General features: G+C 37.9%; 1 protein-coding gene across 23 annotated transcripts in view, besides 2 other annotated features; it reads left to right on the top strand.

The window, feature by feature from the left end:
- EPB41L2 (erythrocyte membrane protein band 4.1 like 2) overlaps window positions 1-15,536 on the top strand; it is a 223,899-nt gene that overhangs the window by 179,482 nt on the left and 28,881 nt on the right. For 4 of the 23 annotated variants that reach the window (NM_001350308.2, NM_001199388.3, NM_001350309.1 and 1 more), the window contains exon 13: window positions 13,638-13,952. The exons of 9 other annotated variants lie outside the window; for them this stretch is intronic. In NM_001350308.2, coding sequence (NP_001337237.1) covers window positions 13,638-13,952 — 315 coding nt within the window. Of the gene's footprint in view, window positions 1-3,557; window positions 3,621-5,513; window positions 5,661-6,988; window positions 7,091-13,382; window positions 13,437-13,637; window positions 14,202-15,536 lie in introns of all 23 variants that reach the window. 10 more of the 23 variants (NM_001350304.2, NM_001350320.2, NM_001350305.2 and 7 more) reach the window with 5 other exon arrangements.
- Window positions 4,790-4,959: an enhancer, noted in NCBI's record as "experimental_89717 CRE fragment used in MPRA reporter constructs". NCBI's record gives its function as "activates a minimal promoter by MPRAs in K562 erythroleukemia cells, with activity observed for the introgressed 6:131200030 variant allele {active_cell/tissue: K562}" and the evidence as "EXISTENCE:reporter gene assay evidence [ECO:0000049][PMID:34662402]".
- Window positions 6,732-6,901: an enhancer, noted in NCBI's record as "experimental_89712 CRE fragment used in MPRA reporter constructs". NCBI's record gives its function as "activates a minimal promoter by MPRAs in K562 erythroleukemia cells, with activity observed for the introgressed 6:131198088 variant allele {active_cell/tissue: K562}" and the evidence as "EXISTENCE:reporter gene assay evidence [ECO:0000049][PMID:34662402]".

The following is a 15,536-nucleotide window of genomic DNA, read 5'->3' as shown; positions in this document are numbered from 1 at the left end:
AAATTGTGACCAACAAGGTTTCTTTCAATTGCTGACAAGTTGTCAGGATAGTTCTTTAAAAATTTTGCTAACAAGGCACCCAGGAGAGTGACTGCTTACATCTGAAACAGAAGAGCTCAGCATTTCAGAATATCTCTGTTCCATTTTGCCTAGTTAACTTGACATATCTAGTTATTTTCCTTAAAAAATGAAAAAGTTCTTTTAAATTTCAAAGGAAATCCTCCTTGTCTGCGGTGAACAACTGGGTACACTGGCATTTTTGCTAATGCTTTGAATGTCTGTCAGCAACCAGGTTTAAAAGTAAATAATGCTGTTTGAGTTTCATGGGATCTATTTGCAACTAGTTTGAAAATAATTAAATGAGTCATATGTATAAATTTTATGTGACACAAGTAGTCTAGTCTTTTCTCTTTAAAAATGGGTCATTTAATTCATTTCTAACTACACTGTGTTAATATGGTCCCTCCTTTAAAGTAAACGTTTTCACTAACTACTCATTTTTTCTTTTGTCCTCTTTCTCTCTTGCATCTGTTTTTCCTTTGATTGTATCTGTTGTGTAATTTCATATTCAATCATGGGTTTGCACTTGAGAATAGACTGTTTCCATGTGCCCACCTTCACCTCTCATCCACCGTACTTCATCTTTTTCCCCAAACCTATTGCCTGTCCCTGAAATGGACTTGCTTTCAGACATTTCAGAGGAAGACCCCTTTGGGGAGGCTGACCAGATCACACTAGACAGCTTAGAGCACCTTTCCACAGGTGAAATATCGGAGCAGGGGGATTCTGAAGTTGCTATGCCTGATTTGGTCTTGGATTCTGCCATAGCCCCTTCTCAGCCTGACTGTCCTTCTCCCATCCATGGGAAGACTCTTAAAGCAGCTGACGACAGTGATTCTGAGTTTGGTTACTTCTCCTTCAGTTTCTCCAAATGTTTTCCCTCCGGCTTCCCCTCCCTTCTTGATGAAGATGGATATCTTGCTTTCCCCAGCCTCCCCAAGGTCTGGGTCTCCTTCCTCCCCGCTGGTGTGCAGCACTATGTCCCAATCACCTCCCCTTCATTCATTCCTTCCCTTATCCTCATCTTTGGGCTACTTCTGTCTGCTTCTCAGTCAGTTCCTTTTTCTCTTGCCTTTTCCCTTCCTCTGGCTCTATCCCTCTGCTATCTGGAGGCTAAAGCCGCCTCCTTTAATGTTTCTTATGACTGTGACTTGAATGACAAGCTCGAGGAAGAGGAAGTAGTTGCTGGCATGCCTACGTAAGCTCAGTTTGTGGAGTCAACACAATACACTTTATCTTAAACCCTTCCTAATATAGAGTGTAAATGTGTGCATACATTTCACCACTGATTACCCTCAACATAGTAGTACCTGCACATTTTCACACACACAATATTTTAGTGCATGAGAAATAAGTGTAGACACTTCTCCTTCATTGATACCATTGACCAGTTCCACACATTCTAAGTTAGGAGCGAAATTGTAGGATTATTTTACAAATATCTAGATCAAAGTAGATTTGTAACAGAAGGTGTGGGGGAGGAGGGAAGGAGGAGGGAACCTGTATTGCCCGTAACAATCCATACAGGGTCTCTCCATTTTGCAAACAGATATTAATGCTGTTCCTTTAGGATGACATCTTTTTGTTTTGATATAGAATTTAGGATGCAGTGGACATAACTGTTCCTGATGTATATTAGTAGAATTCCTTAGTACTGTTATTTCTCTTGTTGGAAACCCAAGTGTGTTCTAGCATCTATGAGGATGTATCTGTAACCTTTACTCCTGACATTTGTAAGTCTAATCTCAAAAGCTCCTTATCTCCCTATTATTGTAGTATTTGGAGACCAGATGAATTTTAGCTAGTTTTTTTTTCTAACCTTAAATTATGTAATTATATATAAGAGTCACTATAGGGTATTTTATAAGGAAGGTACTATTCTGTTGTCTTTAACAAATGTATGTGAAAAGTGAAACATGGCTTTTTGAAAATTTAGACTATATAACACTAAGATTGGGCCTCATAGTGCTCCTTTATTTAAAATTAGGTGTTTGGTTTGAGGATTTTTACCCCTATATAAGGCAAATTTTTTTCAAGTATCCTACCTCTGTGCTACTAAGTCAGCATTAACATGTACAATATATTTTTGATTATTTTGTTAAATGTGGCCTGGTGATTTAGTGCCTCATATTCTATGGATCCTACCAATACATACAGTAAATCACAAAATTTAGAGCAAACCTAAAGAAAAATGTAAAGATAATTGCAGTGAGTATGCATTGTAGGACAATTGTTAAAAGTTTACCTGAGGAATGTCAAAGATCAACATTTTAGGGAATTAAATGTTGACCAAGGAGTTGGAAGATGTTTCTTAACAGATTATTGAATGTCTGTGTCTCATTTTTCACATCTGATAAAGACTCTGAGCTCCTTGCTTACCTCTGAAAAATACTATGAATGGTTAAAAAGGTAAGCCGTTTGAACTCTCAGATTTGACACTATCATCCTAATTAAGAAGGAAAAGGATATATATTAGGAATTAACCTATAAAGGTTAAATGATTTGCCTTTGATAAGGGAGTCAATATTTTTATTCTCACCATTTTTTCCCTTGAGTCAAAATTCAGTCAGTATTTGTTAGTTTTAAACTTCTACATTCATTCTTTTGAATCATCAGATATTGAGAAATGTCCAACTATGAAAAACTGTTCTTATTTAAAGAATTTTATGTAAGTGGTTATATTTCAAAGATTATTTTTAAATACCCACCATTTTAATATGAAACTAGTTAAATAAGCCAATCCCCCTCCCCCAGCCAGAAAAGAAATCCATATTTAACAAACTGAATCATAGGTTGAACATTTGTTCCCCAATATAAAGCTAAAAACGAATTTTACATCATTATACTTTACCCCATCACTAGTTGCTTTAGACATTTCAAATTAGAACAGATTGAATTATGCCATTTTTGCACTCTCATATTCTTGTTCCTGAGTACAAAATATTCAAAAGCAGAGCATAATCTAGGGACTGAGAAAGAGTGAAGCTTCCATCCTCCATTCCACCTTTGCAAAGGATCATTTCCATCATTCGTACAACACTGTAGGTGAAGAAAGACCAAAGAGGCTTAATATTCTGCATCTTCTGAGGGCCTCACAGTAAAGGTTGGTAACACTGGTTCACCATTTAAGTTCAAATACAGCTTCTTTGCACTGATGGTAGAGTTTCCACTAATACTCCCCTTCTTTCTGGCCGTTTGCTGTGTGACTTTTCAGGCGAAGATGGAAGAAGAGGAAACGCAGCTGGAAGAGGTGGCTGAGTTTTCCCTAAAGTTAAACATCTCATGACTGCTGCCTGCCATTAGTATTGTGTGGGGAGGGTCCACTCTCAGGGTTTATTTGTGAGTTGTGTTTGTTGTGGCTTTAAGTTCATAAGATTTGTATTCCTCTTTTATTTTAATGTCTTAGACTGTCGAACTCTGGGTCATTTTGGTGCTTGCTGATTGATACACTTATGTTTATTTGCCTTTTCCCCCCTGTGTGTGATTTAATTTCACAGAAAAATTCCTTGAGAGTAGAAGGGGATAATATTTATGTCAGACATAGCAATTTAATGTTGGAGGTTTGTATAATCTAAGAAAACAACTCTGTCCTAATGGCTGCCCGGCTGCTGTGGACGGGAGGTCACGCCTAGGCTGGCTGGCAATGTTCTTCAAGCACGGTGCATGCAGTGCATGGGGGAATTCAGCTCGGGAGTGCATGTTACCAGCCTGACGGTGTTCCTTTCAAGTGGCTTAGGCAGGACTGTATCTACTAGAAGTTCTCAAAGTGACAAGTGGGAAAAAAAAGTTTAGTCAAATGAATCAAGTTTTTATCCAGTACTCTTGAAGTTGTTCTACAAGTAAACCTATTCTCTCCTAAAGGGTTAACTCTAGGGCATCAACCTGAGGTAACACAATCTCATCCTTAATATGTATTAACTAGAACAGAGATTTGTTTATTGATCTGGCATTAAATCATGTGACTCTTGATCTTGATCTGTGCCCACTTTTTTTGTTTTTTTTGGTTAAAATCCATGATTGGGAATGTGGTCCACTTTCAGTATTCTGTTTGAGAATATGCTAATTAAAGAAATTATTTTAATTAGAAAGAACAAGCAAAAGTGAGAGAGAAGGAAAGGAGAAAAAGAAAGCCCAATCACCCAATTATGAATGTAAAGTGTAAAATATGTTCCCCGTGTCACGTGAGAACATTTTTTTTTCCCTTCTTATTTTACAGTAGTATGTGGCAATGTATTCAATGGAGAACTGCAGCTCTCAGTAATCTGACTAATCTGTTTGGTTGCTTTTGGCAGCTTGGTAACTGATGGAAATGTATTTTTGCTTAACTTACTAAAATGCTGTACAGTGTAATAAGTAACATTGCTTTGAACCAATGCAAGAAATGTGCCTGATCTCAAGCCACAGTCATTTTTCCATGCCATGCAAAGATTTTTAGATTTTCATGAGTTTTTGCAAATGGCTATAGAAGCTCATAGATGAGCTACTATGCTTGTGCATGAATATGGAATATCTAATTTTATTGGTTGCATGACCTGTTCCTTAAAGTGGGATGAAAGCTATAATCCACAGGTGGCCCTATGATTTTTGAAATATAAATAAATATTTAAAATTTGGTTAAAACAAATACTATTTATGAGAGCCAGTCGAAAAAAATTCCACAAATACCATTTATCAGGGCCTGCTCCCATGAAAATGGACCTGGTAGTTTTTCTTGTATATTTGTCTGTATAAGGACGATCTGGCAGTTGCGGAGGCTAGACCCCACTTTTGTGCTTGGCAAGTACATGAGACCAGTCTGTGGTTTATTTATTCTATAAAGAGGCTAAACAGAAGCAGCCTCTGGAAGCAGTAATTTTTATTCCTTAAGAATTAAAAGCCATCACTGGAATTTCCTGAAAACAAACAAACAAACAAAAAACCTTGGCTTTTCCAGCTGGGGGTTGATCCTGGTCTGGCTTTTTCTTCCAGCCAGTGTGCTTCTGAGTCTCTACCTTCCTCTATTTTGTACTTGATTTCCTATATTCACAGAATGCAATTTTAGGAGTAGTCCTAATCAGAAAGGTAAATTTGCTGGAACAAAGTCATAGTCTGAGTTTCAAATCCAGGTACTGGAAGGAAGTGTTATTAGCCATTTTGATGATCAGTTCCATGTCATCTTTCTGATAATGTAAATAATTATTCCTTTAAAAATCCTAAATAGAGAAGAAATCAGAACCCTTTAAAATGTAAATCATTGAAGAAGTACGCATTGACTTTATTTTCAAATTTTGATGAATTCATGAACTTACTCATAGATAATAATATGGCTTTAGAGACTTGGCATTTTTCTTGCTTTACTATGGTTTTTTTTTTAATCGTAAGTTTGCTTTGTCTTATTTTTTGGTTTTATTTTTGTCCTACTGGGTTTTTTCCTTTTGGATTTTTCCCCCCTTTGTTACGTTACATATTGCTAGGAACTGGATAAGGCCCAGGAGGACATACTGAAACATCAGGCTAGCATTAGTGAACTCAAGCGCAATTTTATGGAATCCACACCTGAGCCGCGCCCTAATGAATGGGAAAAACGACGTATCACACCTCTGTCCCTACAGACACAAGGGGTATGTCATTAGCTATTTGTTGGCTCTGTCTCACTTCAGTTGCTCAATAAAACTTAAATTGTTAATCTCTATGTTGAGTCTAGGGAAGTTACAAAATGTTCCCATTTAATTATTTTTATGTAATTACTAACAATTTTGTAAATACTAAATATTAACAATGTAATAGTTATTGGCCTAGTTCTTAGGTAAATTGCATGAGTTTCAAAATACTTTTGAAATAGTTTTAGGATAATTTCACTATTTTACTCAGGTAAATTGTAGTAATGAATTGTTATATAGGACAATTTAGAAACTAACATACTGTATTTAATAAGCTTTTTAGTTACTGATATCTGAAATAGGGACATTTACTTAGTATAAATAATTAATAAATAAAGAAATATAGGCTATCTTTAGAGTGGTTTAAAGTTATTACTGTGAGGAAAATGAGTTTAACTTAGCTTTAAAGACCGATGAGCCCTGTTGAAAGCTTGAAAAATATTATATATAATATGACTTAGTATTGAAACTTCCTTATAATGAAATGTTAGAATTGTGTTTTAAAAACGTTTTTTCAATCATAACATTTCTCCTCACTTACTCTATTTCTTTTCATGGTTTACTTCTCCCCACCACTGATATGAGTACATATTGCCTTCAGGATATATTCTCAATACATTTCTCCATTCATTGTCATCCACATCTGTGCCTCTAGGATTCTTCCAAATCCCTCCTGTTATTGACCAAGAACTTCCATGGGCTCGTTTATCATACTTGAGCGGACAGTGATCATACTATATTTAATCTGTAGTTTAAAAAATGGTATAAAGATGTTACCCTACAATTTCATCTTTTTCCTTTCAGCATCTAGTCTGGCTTGAATGTTGCCAAATTGTAGACATTGATTTAGATATTCTAGTGCTATTTTTATTCACCTTTCCTTAAAAAGAAAAGCTGTTAGTTGCTTTAAATTTCTAAGTTTGTGCCATTGAAAAAGAAAGCTCTTTAAGAACAGATGAGCAAAAAGAATTGCTGAACTGAAACACAGAACTTTTGAAAATATTAAGACATGCTTGGTAGAGTCTTATGAAGTTGAATACAACTTCAGTTCTTAGTTTCAGATTTTTCTGAAGATGATAAAAAATGTCAATTTCAGCAGTCTATTCCAGAATGTTGTGTTTTCTGGAGAAAGGGTCTGATGCCATGCCAAGGTTTTCACCTTCCATTATGTGCCACTTCTCCTGGTGTGTGTCATTGACCCACACTGGGTCAGTATTTTGTGTTTGTGTTGCTATAGGTGTAATGTATGTGTCTTATTTGTTGATTATGTCTATTGTTTAAAACAATAGAGAAAAGGAGACCATCTTTTCAAGGATATTTTATCCGTGAAGGAGAAGTACCTGATGCCGACAATATGGACAGTTGAAGAAAAAGCTCAGGAGACGGACAAGGTGTTCACCTTGCACCCTTGGATCTACTCTTGCTTTTTCCCCCTTTCCTTTTGTTTCTATCCACAGCCATAAGATTTCTTTTTTCCTGTGTGTCATACTAAAATTTTTTTGAAATGATTTTTGAGCATTTAAAAAGTTAAATCCCCTGTGTATAGAAGCATAGGATTGTTGGATGAGAAATACCATATTGCAGAAGCACTTGAAAAGTCAAAATTTGAAATACAGAAACATCAACCAATTTAGGTGATAACTGATTCCTAATTTGATGTATGTGGCTGACAGTTGGGAAACTGATTTCATGTGAAAGTGCACTGTTTGTACAATACTTATGCATGTCGTGTTGTTAAAATAACCACTTATGTGCCTTAGATGATGAGTTTACTAATTACATATGGAAACCTTTTGAGTTTTCACTTGTAAGATTTTTAATGGGAACAAAGATTTTGATGCACCATAGCAGCCCCTCACCTCTCTCTCTGCTCCTGCATGTGTGACATTTCTGACACTGGTGAGGAAGTTCACTTTCCATTGCTTTTACATCCTCATTCTTCTCTTTCTACTGATTTTACTTAGCCAGGTGGTCAGTCTGTTATTTGCTGGGACTGGAGAGCTTGGAGTCTAGTGGAGGAGACATGGAAATAGTTAATTAGAAAAGTTTCTTTTTTTTCTTTCTTCTTTTTTTTTTTTTTGAGATGCACTCTTGCACATTCGCCCGGGCTGGAGTGCAATGGCATGATCTTGGCTCACTGCAACCTCCATCTCCTGGGTTCAAGCAACTTTCCTGTTTAGCTGGGATTACAGGTGCCTGCTACCAAGTCTGGCTAATTTTTTTGTGTTTTTAGTTGAGACGGGGTTTCACTATGTTGACCAGACTGGTCTTGACTCCTGACCACGTGATTTGCCCTTCTTGGTCTCCCAAAGTGCTAGGATTACAGGCGTGAGCCACCACACCCGGCTGGTGATTAGAAAATTTTCTAATTGGTACTTGGAAAGTTTCAGACACTAGGAAGTAAATGTTAAGAAGGTGAAATACAATGTTGTGTTAGGAGGGGATTAGGAAGACCGTTTTGTCATTGTGGTCAGGAGGAGATGACATTTGAGTTGAAACCTTAATGATAACCAGGTGGACATGTGAAAATGTATCCACGTGTAAGGACGAGCCACAACACAGGAACTGAAAGACCAAATGACAGGGGCTTGGTGAGCAAGGGGGAGCACGAAGGAAGGAAAATTCAAAGAGGTTAGACCCTAGGTCATGTCACGATCTTAAAGGCCATGCTAACAGTTTGGAATTGTACAATAAGAATGATGGGAAAGCATTGGAGAGTTTGAAGGTGAGTAGTGGCAGAATCCCACCTGTTTCTGACAGAAGTCCCCCTGGCACTGGATGAGGAATAGATTATAGGGGCTGTGAATGAGAACAGAGATTATTAATAAGGAAACAGTGATTCCCTTCCACAAAGTAGATTCTGTTAATTGGTAGAGAGTATTCATCAGAACACGTAGCAGGGTTGGGAAAGGAGGCAAAATAAGTAGAAATAAGGAGTTTATGGTCTAGTTGAGATGAAATATTTTCAGAACATTGCAAATGAGAAAGATAATGTCATGAAGCTAAACCAAGTGACATATTTATATACTTTAAAGGTTAGCCTGAAACCAAAGCCAATTAGACTCCATGTGTATAATGAGGACTTTAATATCACATGCTTTGAAATATTACGTATTTTTCATAACCTGTCCTTCAGAAGCAATCACATGGTATCATTCGATCAAATTTAAAGTGATGTCCTTGGATTTTTGCAGTAGGAAACTTTGACATTTTAGTGGAGATGTTTAAAATTATTATCATTTTTCTGGATCTCATGTTTTAGGAATGTACAGTGTAAAATATCTTGTCATAGAAGTCACATTAAAGTGATGTTAATGTGAAATTTAAATCTGGAAAAGCCCCCAAGTGGTTTATCTGTACTTGAAGTTACTTGTTTTTCTGTTCTTTTCCTCTCCAATACATGCAGGAAAATACATACTTTTTTGACATTCATATAGATTGTTCTTATTACAATCATCCATTCATCCGTTTGCCCAACAAACATTTATTGACCACCTACATTGTATCTTTTTTGTTTTTCTTTAAATAACATACTACTATTAGTTGAAAGTATGTGAGCATTTGTCTACGGGAGTGTTTTGACTTTACCAGAGTACCTTTTCAATTTCTGTCTTTGTTGTATCTTCATTTTACTGTTAATTCTGCAGGGGTTCTCGTTTATCTTTGAATTGTAATTCTTATTGAAAGTAAAATAAAAAAATTATGCATAAGTATATAATTTGACCACTTTTCCAAATTTCTATAATATGGGCTTTTATAGCTTTTTAAAAAAGCAGGAATAGTTTCTTTTTAAAAAAAAAAAATACATTGCATTTTCAAAGTGGCTGTAGTTTGAACAATTTTGAGAGTAGAGCAGAAAATTGGAAACCAAGTCATTTAATCTTTAATGGGTAAATAACTCTATTGTAATCCTCTTAACGTGTTGTATGAATTATGATGACTTAAATTTGCATAGACTATTCTCTCCTGAGTCTAAGAGATTATGTACATTGAGTTGTAAGGTACTTTTGAAGGTATGTCATTGGATAACGAAATGTGTGGCACTTCTTTAAATTCCCCAGTGATCTCTCACTGGGAAGGGCATCCCACCCACCCCCACTTCCCCAAGGGACGATGTAATCATAGAGATGGTAATGAAGTTAAGTCAGTCCAAAAGCTTTTTCCTCTGCTGAATATTGCAAGTGCCTACTCCCCTCACCCTCCTCACCTCACTTTCTGCGCTCCTCACCCTTCTTAGCTCACAGTATGAAGGGGCCCCTTAGGAGCGTCATTGATTTTTCTTTAAGATTTCTGAATAGTGACTGGGTGCGGTGGCTCACGCCTGTATTCCCAGCACTTTGGGAGGCCGAGGAGGATAGATCACCTGAAGTCAGGAGTTAGAGACCAGCCTGGCCAACATGGCAAAACCCCGTCTCTACTAAAAATATAAAAATTAGCTGGGCATGGTGCTGCACGCCTATAATCCCAGCTACTGGGGAGGCTGAGGCAGGAAAATCACTTAAACCTGGGAGGTAGAGGTTGCAGTGAGCCGAGATCGCGGCACACTGCACTCCAGCCTGAGTGACAGAGCGAGACTCCGTCTCAAAAAAAAAAAAAAACCTGAATAGTGGGGTTTATTAGGAATTATTCTCACACTTCTGACATGAGGGGGTGCTTCATGATGACTCTTGAATATTGACATTTCAAGTTTCTAAGGACAGTTCTGCTGTCCCTCAGGCAGGTTGGGAGCCATTGTTTAAGAGCCAGACACAGCAAAGTTAAATTTGCTTTAATGGTTTAATTTAGGGAGAAATAATTTTCACGTTGCTCATTGAGCTTTCAACTCTGAGTTTGTCTTCCTATTTTGAATTGTTTTTCTTTACCTGTTTCTTTTTGCAAAAAAAGGGGACAGGGTAATTTACTCTGTGGCATATTTAGCACGCCTGAGGGAATGAATGTGGGCTGCTGTCAGAATGTTTGTTGTACAGAGAGTTAAGGTGGTATTGAGGAGGGAGATTGTAGGAGTTGGAGTGGTGAGGGAAGGCCTTACAGAAAATGCAGACTATGAAGTGGGCCTCAGGGAGGTTAGAAAACTGGAAAGGCCCAGAATGTGCAGATAAGGGCAAAGAAGGGCCTTGGAGGCAGGAGAGGGAGGACTGCCCAAGCTGTAACACAGGAATAAGCATTTCAAGTGTAGGGGCCACTGAAGAGGCCATTCCGTGCAGAGAAAGGCCAAGGAACTACCTCAAGAATATATGAAATGGCGTTTGGGTGGGTCGGTTGTGCTCAGTTGGTGATCAGCCAAGCAGTTTTCACTGGTTTCTGGAGGTCGCAACTATCAAAGATTCTCAAGCAGGGTGGAAAAGCTGGCGCTCACAAACCTCTTCATAAGCCTGCTCCAGAATCTGTCAGAATTCTCATCTTTTCTTTCATTTTATGCTGTTCTGTTGTTCTTTCTTGTGTAACCTTTCCTTTCTTCCAATAGGTCACTGCTGTCTGTTCTGACTTATTGCTAATTCTTTGCTCTTCCTTTTCTGACCTCTCTAGAGCCTAGAAGAGGAGATAACATCAATTTTGTTTAGTGAAAAGGGCTTTTCTGATAGCATGAAAGCCACCTTCACTTCAGCCACCACTTGGACAGCAGAGGGCGCTGTTGTGAGCGCTAATGCACCTTCTGAAAAGCTTTCTTCCTCGCCCTTCTCACACTTGCTTGAGGTGCATTTTACTTTGTTTCCCCTGTTACTAAAAGCCACATATGAGAGAGATTTTCATTTTTTTAAATATTCAGGCACCATTCCCTCCAGTGCTTTCATTGGTGAAATTAATTCTTCCTGGGAGAAACATTCAAGAAACAATGACTGAATTGGAACATGAAGAAAAGATATAGATTGGATGTTTCTCCTGCTTCTTTGGTCAAAGAAAAAAAAAATCTGCCTAAATTCAGAGAATAATTTAAATCATTAAGTTCCAGAGTCTGGGCTGTTAAGCAGAGGGAAACCCTCAACCAGATATGCTTTGCAGAGTTGACATTTTCAAAACCCCAAATTTCAGGCATCCTCTGATGGCATGTTATTTTTAAAATTCTGTTTATATGGAAAAAATCTGAAGTGCCTCCCATGCTCCATGACATAATTGCTTTTGAATGACCCTAAGGAATTCCCTGAACTTGGGCAGAACCTATCCAGCTAATTGAGGTTAAGATATAACAATAATAATAATTCACTGATCTATAATAATAATGAAATGTGTGTTTCAGAAATGTTCTGGTCACTGGATATGTTTATTATATGTAGTCATGGTTAAATTTTACCTGCTTATCAAAATAGATTGAGAGTTTTTTCAGTTTAATATCTAGAAACCTCTGAGTTTTCAATAAAACTGGAAAGATAGCTGTCTTCTGTTAGTAATGTGATTTACATGGTATTAATTTGGGTCAATGAAACCATGCCCTTACCATGTGTTTAAGAATAATAGGGCAGGTCCAAGAGAGTTTGTGAGTAGACGTTGACAGTGCTGCAGAGACGTGTGTGTGTGATGTTAGGATCTTCAGCTCATGGTTGTCCAAGTGTCTGGGAGAGATGAACTCAGCCCTGCTGTCTATTAGAGGCTCCAGTCCAGTTAGTACCTTGGCAGCTTCACAACAATATCCAGAGGGCTCAGTGGTGTGGTGCCCTTCTCCATCCAGAATGGAGTCACTTTCGTGAATAAATAGGGCTCCTGGCTCTAGCTGAATTATTTTTAAGTTAGATCATAGGCAGTAGTACCACCTAGAAGTCAAAAAGTTGGCCATGCTTGAGTTATATCATTGTAAAGCAGACTTTTTGTAAGTGTGAGAAAAATGTGAAGCTTTAAAAACCCCTCTGTACAAAAAGGTTTCCACCCTAGTTAATAATATCATAACATAGTAATTTGTTCCTAATGTATTAAGTCAACAGATATTTATTGAACATTTAGGTGCTATATTACTCAACTGGAGTAAATTACTTTACTCCCAAGAAGTAGATGTCTGAAGGGGATAGGAGTGAACATGTCAAATAATAAACTTGACTGAGTTTAGATTTCAAAGATGCTAGTAGAGGAGCTAAATTGTAAAAGGAAACACTTGGAGTCACCATTGACACCCACCCTATTGTATAATATAGCCTTTGCCAACCTATGATACGAATTGGAAAGTTAATAACCATTTCTGGAATGAACATTTTCATGTTAATAGCCTTCTGAGGCTAACTATAATTTTGCCAATTAAAACTTTTTTTTTTTTTTTAAAGAAAACCAGCAAAAAATAAAAGTGCCATCTCCTTGGTGCTGTGTTCATTTAAGAATCAGCGTTCCAGGCTAGACTTTATAGTCTGATTAAAACCAAAACTGTTACTAGGTTTTAAAAGTTAAATTTTTTTCTTTAAAATGATGAGTCAGCTTTGGTATAATTCAATTTTTGTAAACTGTTTTAACTACATAGGTAGAGCTTATAGGTATATCTATAATAAAAGCATTTTACTTCTTTGGGAGGATGCTGGCTGTTTTTGTGTCTTTTTGTAAGCTTTTTGGCATTTGTCTTGATTGTCCTCTATGTGACCTTGAGCAGAGGTTTCTGTAGATGTTGATTCTTGCTGTTTTGTCTTTGCAGTGTCAGATGTTTGTTTCAGTGGTTGTTGAGGTAAAACTGTATTGATTTTGTGTCCTCGGTTGCTTTTTGTTCTGCAGACACGTGCTCCCGAGTCAGAAGGGCCTTGCACTGGAGCCAGGGATGCTGTTAAGGTTCTCCCCTTTTTCCATGTTAACACCATTGCCTCACGTTTCTCATTGCCCTCACGTTTGCCCCGCTTCCCTTTCAGTCAGCCATCATAATCATCTTTGTTTTTCTCCATGACATGAATCTGCCATCGGTTAATTTGGGTTTCCGTTGTTTTTATTTATTCATATATTTTTGTTTTCCCTCATCCATCTTTTTTTGTACAGAGTTCACATGAGACTCTGAATATAGTGGAGGAGAAGAAGCGGGCAGAGGTTGGGAAAGACGAAAGAGTAATCACAGAAGAAATGAATGGTAAAGAGATATCACCTGGGAGTGGTCCTGGGGAGATTCGTAAGGTGGAGCCTGTGACACAAAAAGACTCCACCTCCCTGTCTTCTGAGAGCAGCAGCAGCAGCAGTGAGAGTGAGGAGGAAGACGTGGGAGAGTACCGTCCCCACCACCGAGTGACCGAGGGCACCATCAGGGAGGAACAGGAGTATGAAGAAGAGGTGGAGGAAGAACCCCGCCCGGCAGCCAAGGTAGTAGAGAGGGAGGAAGCAGTGCCCGAAGCCAGCCCAGTCACACAAGCAGGTGCCAGTGTAATCACAGTAGAAACAGTGATCCAGGAAAATGTAGGTGCCCAAAAGATACCCGGAGAGAAGAGTGTACACGAAGGCGCTCTTAAGCAAGACATGGGAGAAGAAGCAGAGGAAGAGCCACAGAAAGTTAACGGAGAGGTGTCCCATGTTGACATTGATGTTTTGCCACAAATTATTTGTTGTTCAGAGGTAAATGGGAGTCCCAGGTGGGAGCCAAACTCTAGAGCTGCTTCTCAGATGGGGAACTCCTGCCTTTCTTCTCCTGTCCTCCCAGTTCTTCAGCTTTTTTCAACAAGAATCTGATTTTTCTCTCTCATGGGAGGAAGGGGGAAGCACTGCTTTGTGGATTTTCTGCCCGCCCAGTTCATGGGTTCCAGCTTCTCTGCGGCCACTGGACACCTGTAGGGTAAACTTTCCTAGAAGCACCACATCAATTTTTCCTTCCCTTTTCACATTTAAATTTTTCTTTGCATGTTTTGGGTGTTTTCAACTGTTTTGTCTTCAGTTGCACTGCTTCCTCACACTAAATGCCTTTTTTTCCCCTTTTGGTTTAATTAGAAAAATGTATATGTAATGTTGAAAAAAAAAATGGTCACTGCTGAGTGTGTGTGCCCCTGATGTCATGATTGGGTTTGACTTCTTGGCTCATTCTTCAGCTTCAGAGTTTTAGAAATGACAGCAGTCTCTGATTACCGTGGTTCTCTGAATGCAGTATCCAGCAGTGATGAGAATGTTATTTCTTGAATGCCACTGTGATTTCTGTTTTGGGATTGCAGGGGTTGTATGGTTTTGTTAAGAGCCTTTCTTTTCTTCCAGGCAGCCAGAGGCTAGGCTATTTGATAGGAGGATATCCTCGCTTCTCATTCTATCCTGATGTCAATTCTGGAGTATTTGCCAGATGATTATATGTTTTGTGGATTATCTATACATTGGACATGAATCTTTTTCTTTTCAAAGAAGAGAACTTTTTGGTCACTAAGTGCAGTGTCTCTCATTTGGGAGTTAGGCTGAGGGAGGGTTTATTTCCTTGGGAATATTTCTTGATTTTAATATTAAATGCCCACAGTACAGAGATTTATTTTGTTCTCTTCGATGGGATGGAAAATGTTGAAGTGACTTTGTCTTAAAATAATTAAGTGGATTTTAACCATGTTACTTTTAAACTTCTGTTTCACTTTAGAGAAGATTTTTCAAGAGTCTTTGAACACTTTGAACTATTCTGTATTTAACATATCGTTACTCCTCTTTAAATAATTATGCCTGTTGAGAATGTTCTCTCAAAGAAAGTACTGCAGTATTTTGGTAGTAGTATAGTCTGGTGTTGCATTAATATTAAGCATGCATACTCGGCAGACTAAAATGTTAATAAGCCGTTGAATATTTCCTTTAATGTTTTAAATTGTTCAAAGCATTGGTGTAACATTGATGGAGTAATTTTAGATAGAGCATTTTAACTTAGGTAATACAGAAGAAACACTGCAAATTTTAGACAGGTATAACTGAAAACAGTAATACTTGAAGACA

This window comes from Homo sapiens, chromosome 6, assembly GCF_000001405.40.
Source record: "Homo sapiens chromosome 6, GRCh38.p14 Primary Assembly".
Taxonomy (NCBI): Eukaryota; Metazoa; Chordata; class Mammalia; order Primates; family Hominidae; genus Homo; species Homo sapiens.
This window is presented reverse-complemented; position numbering and strand designations above follow the sequence as displayed.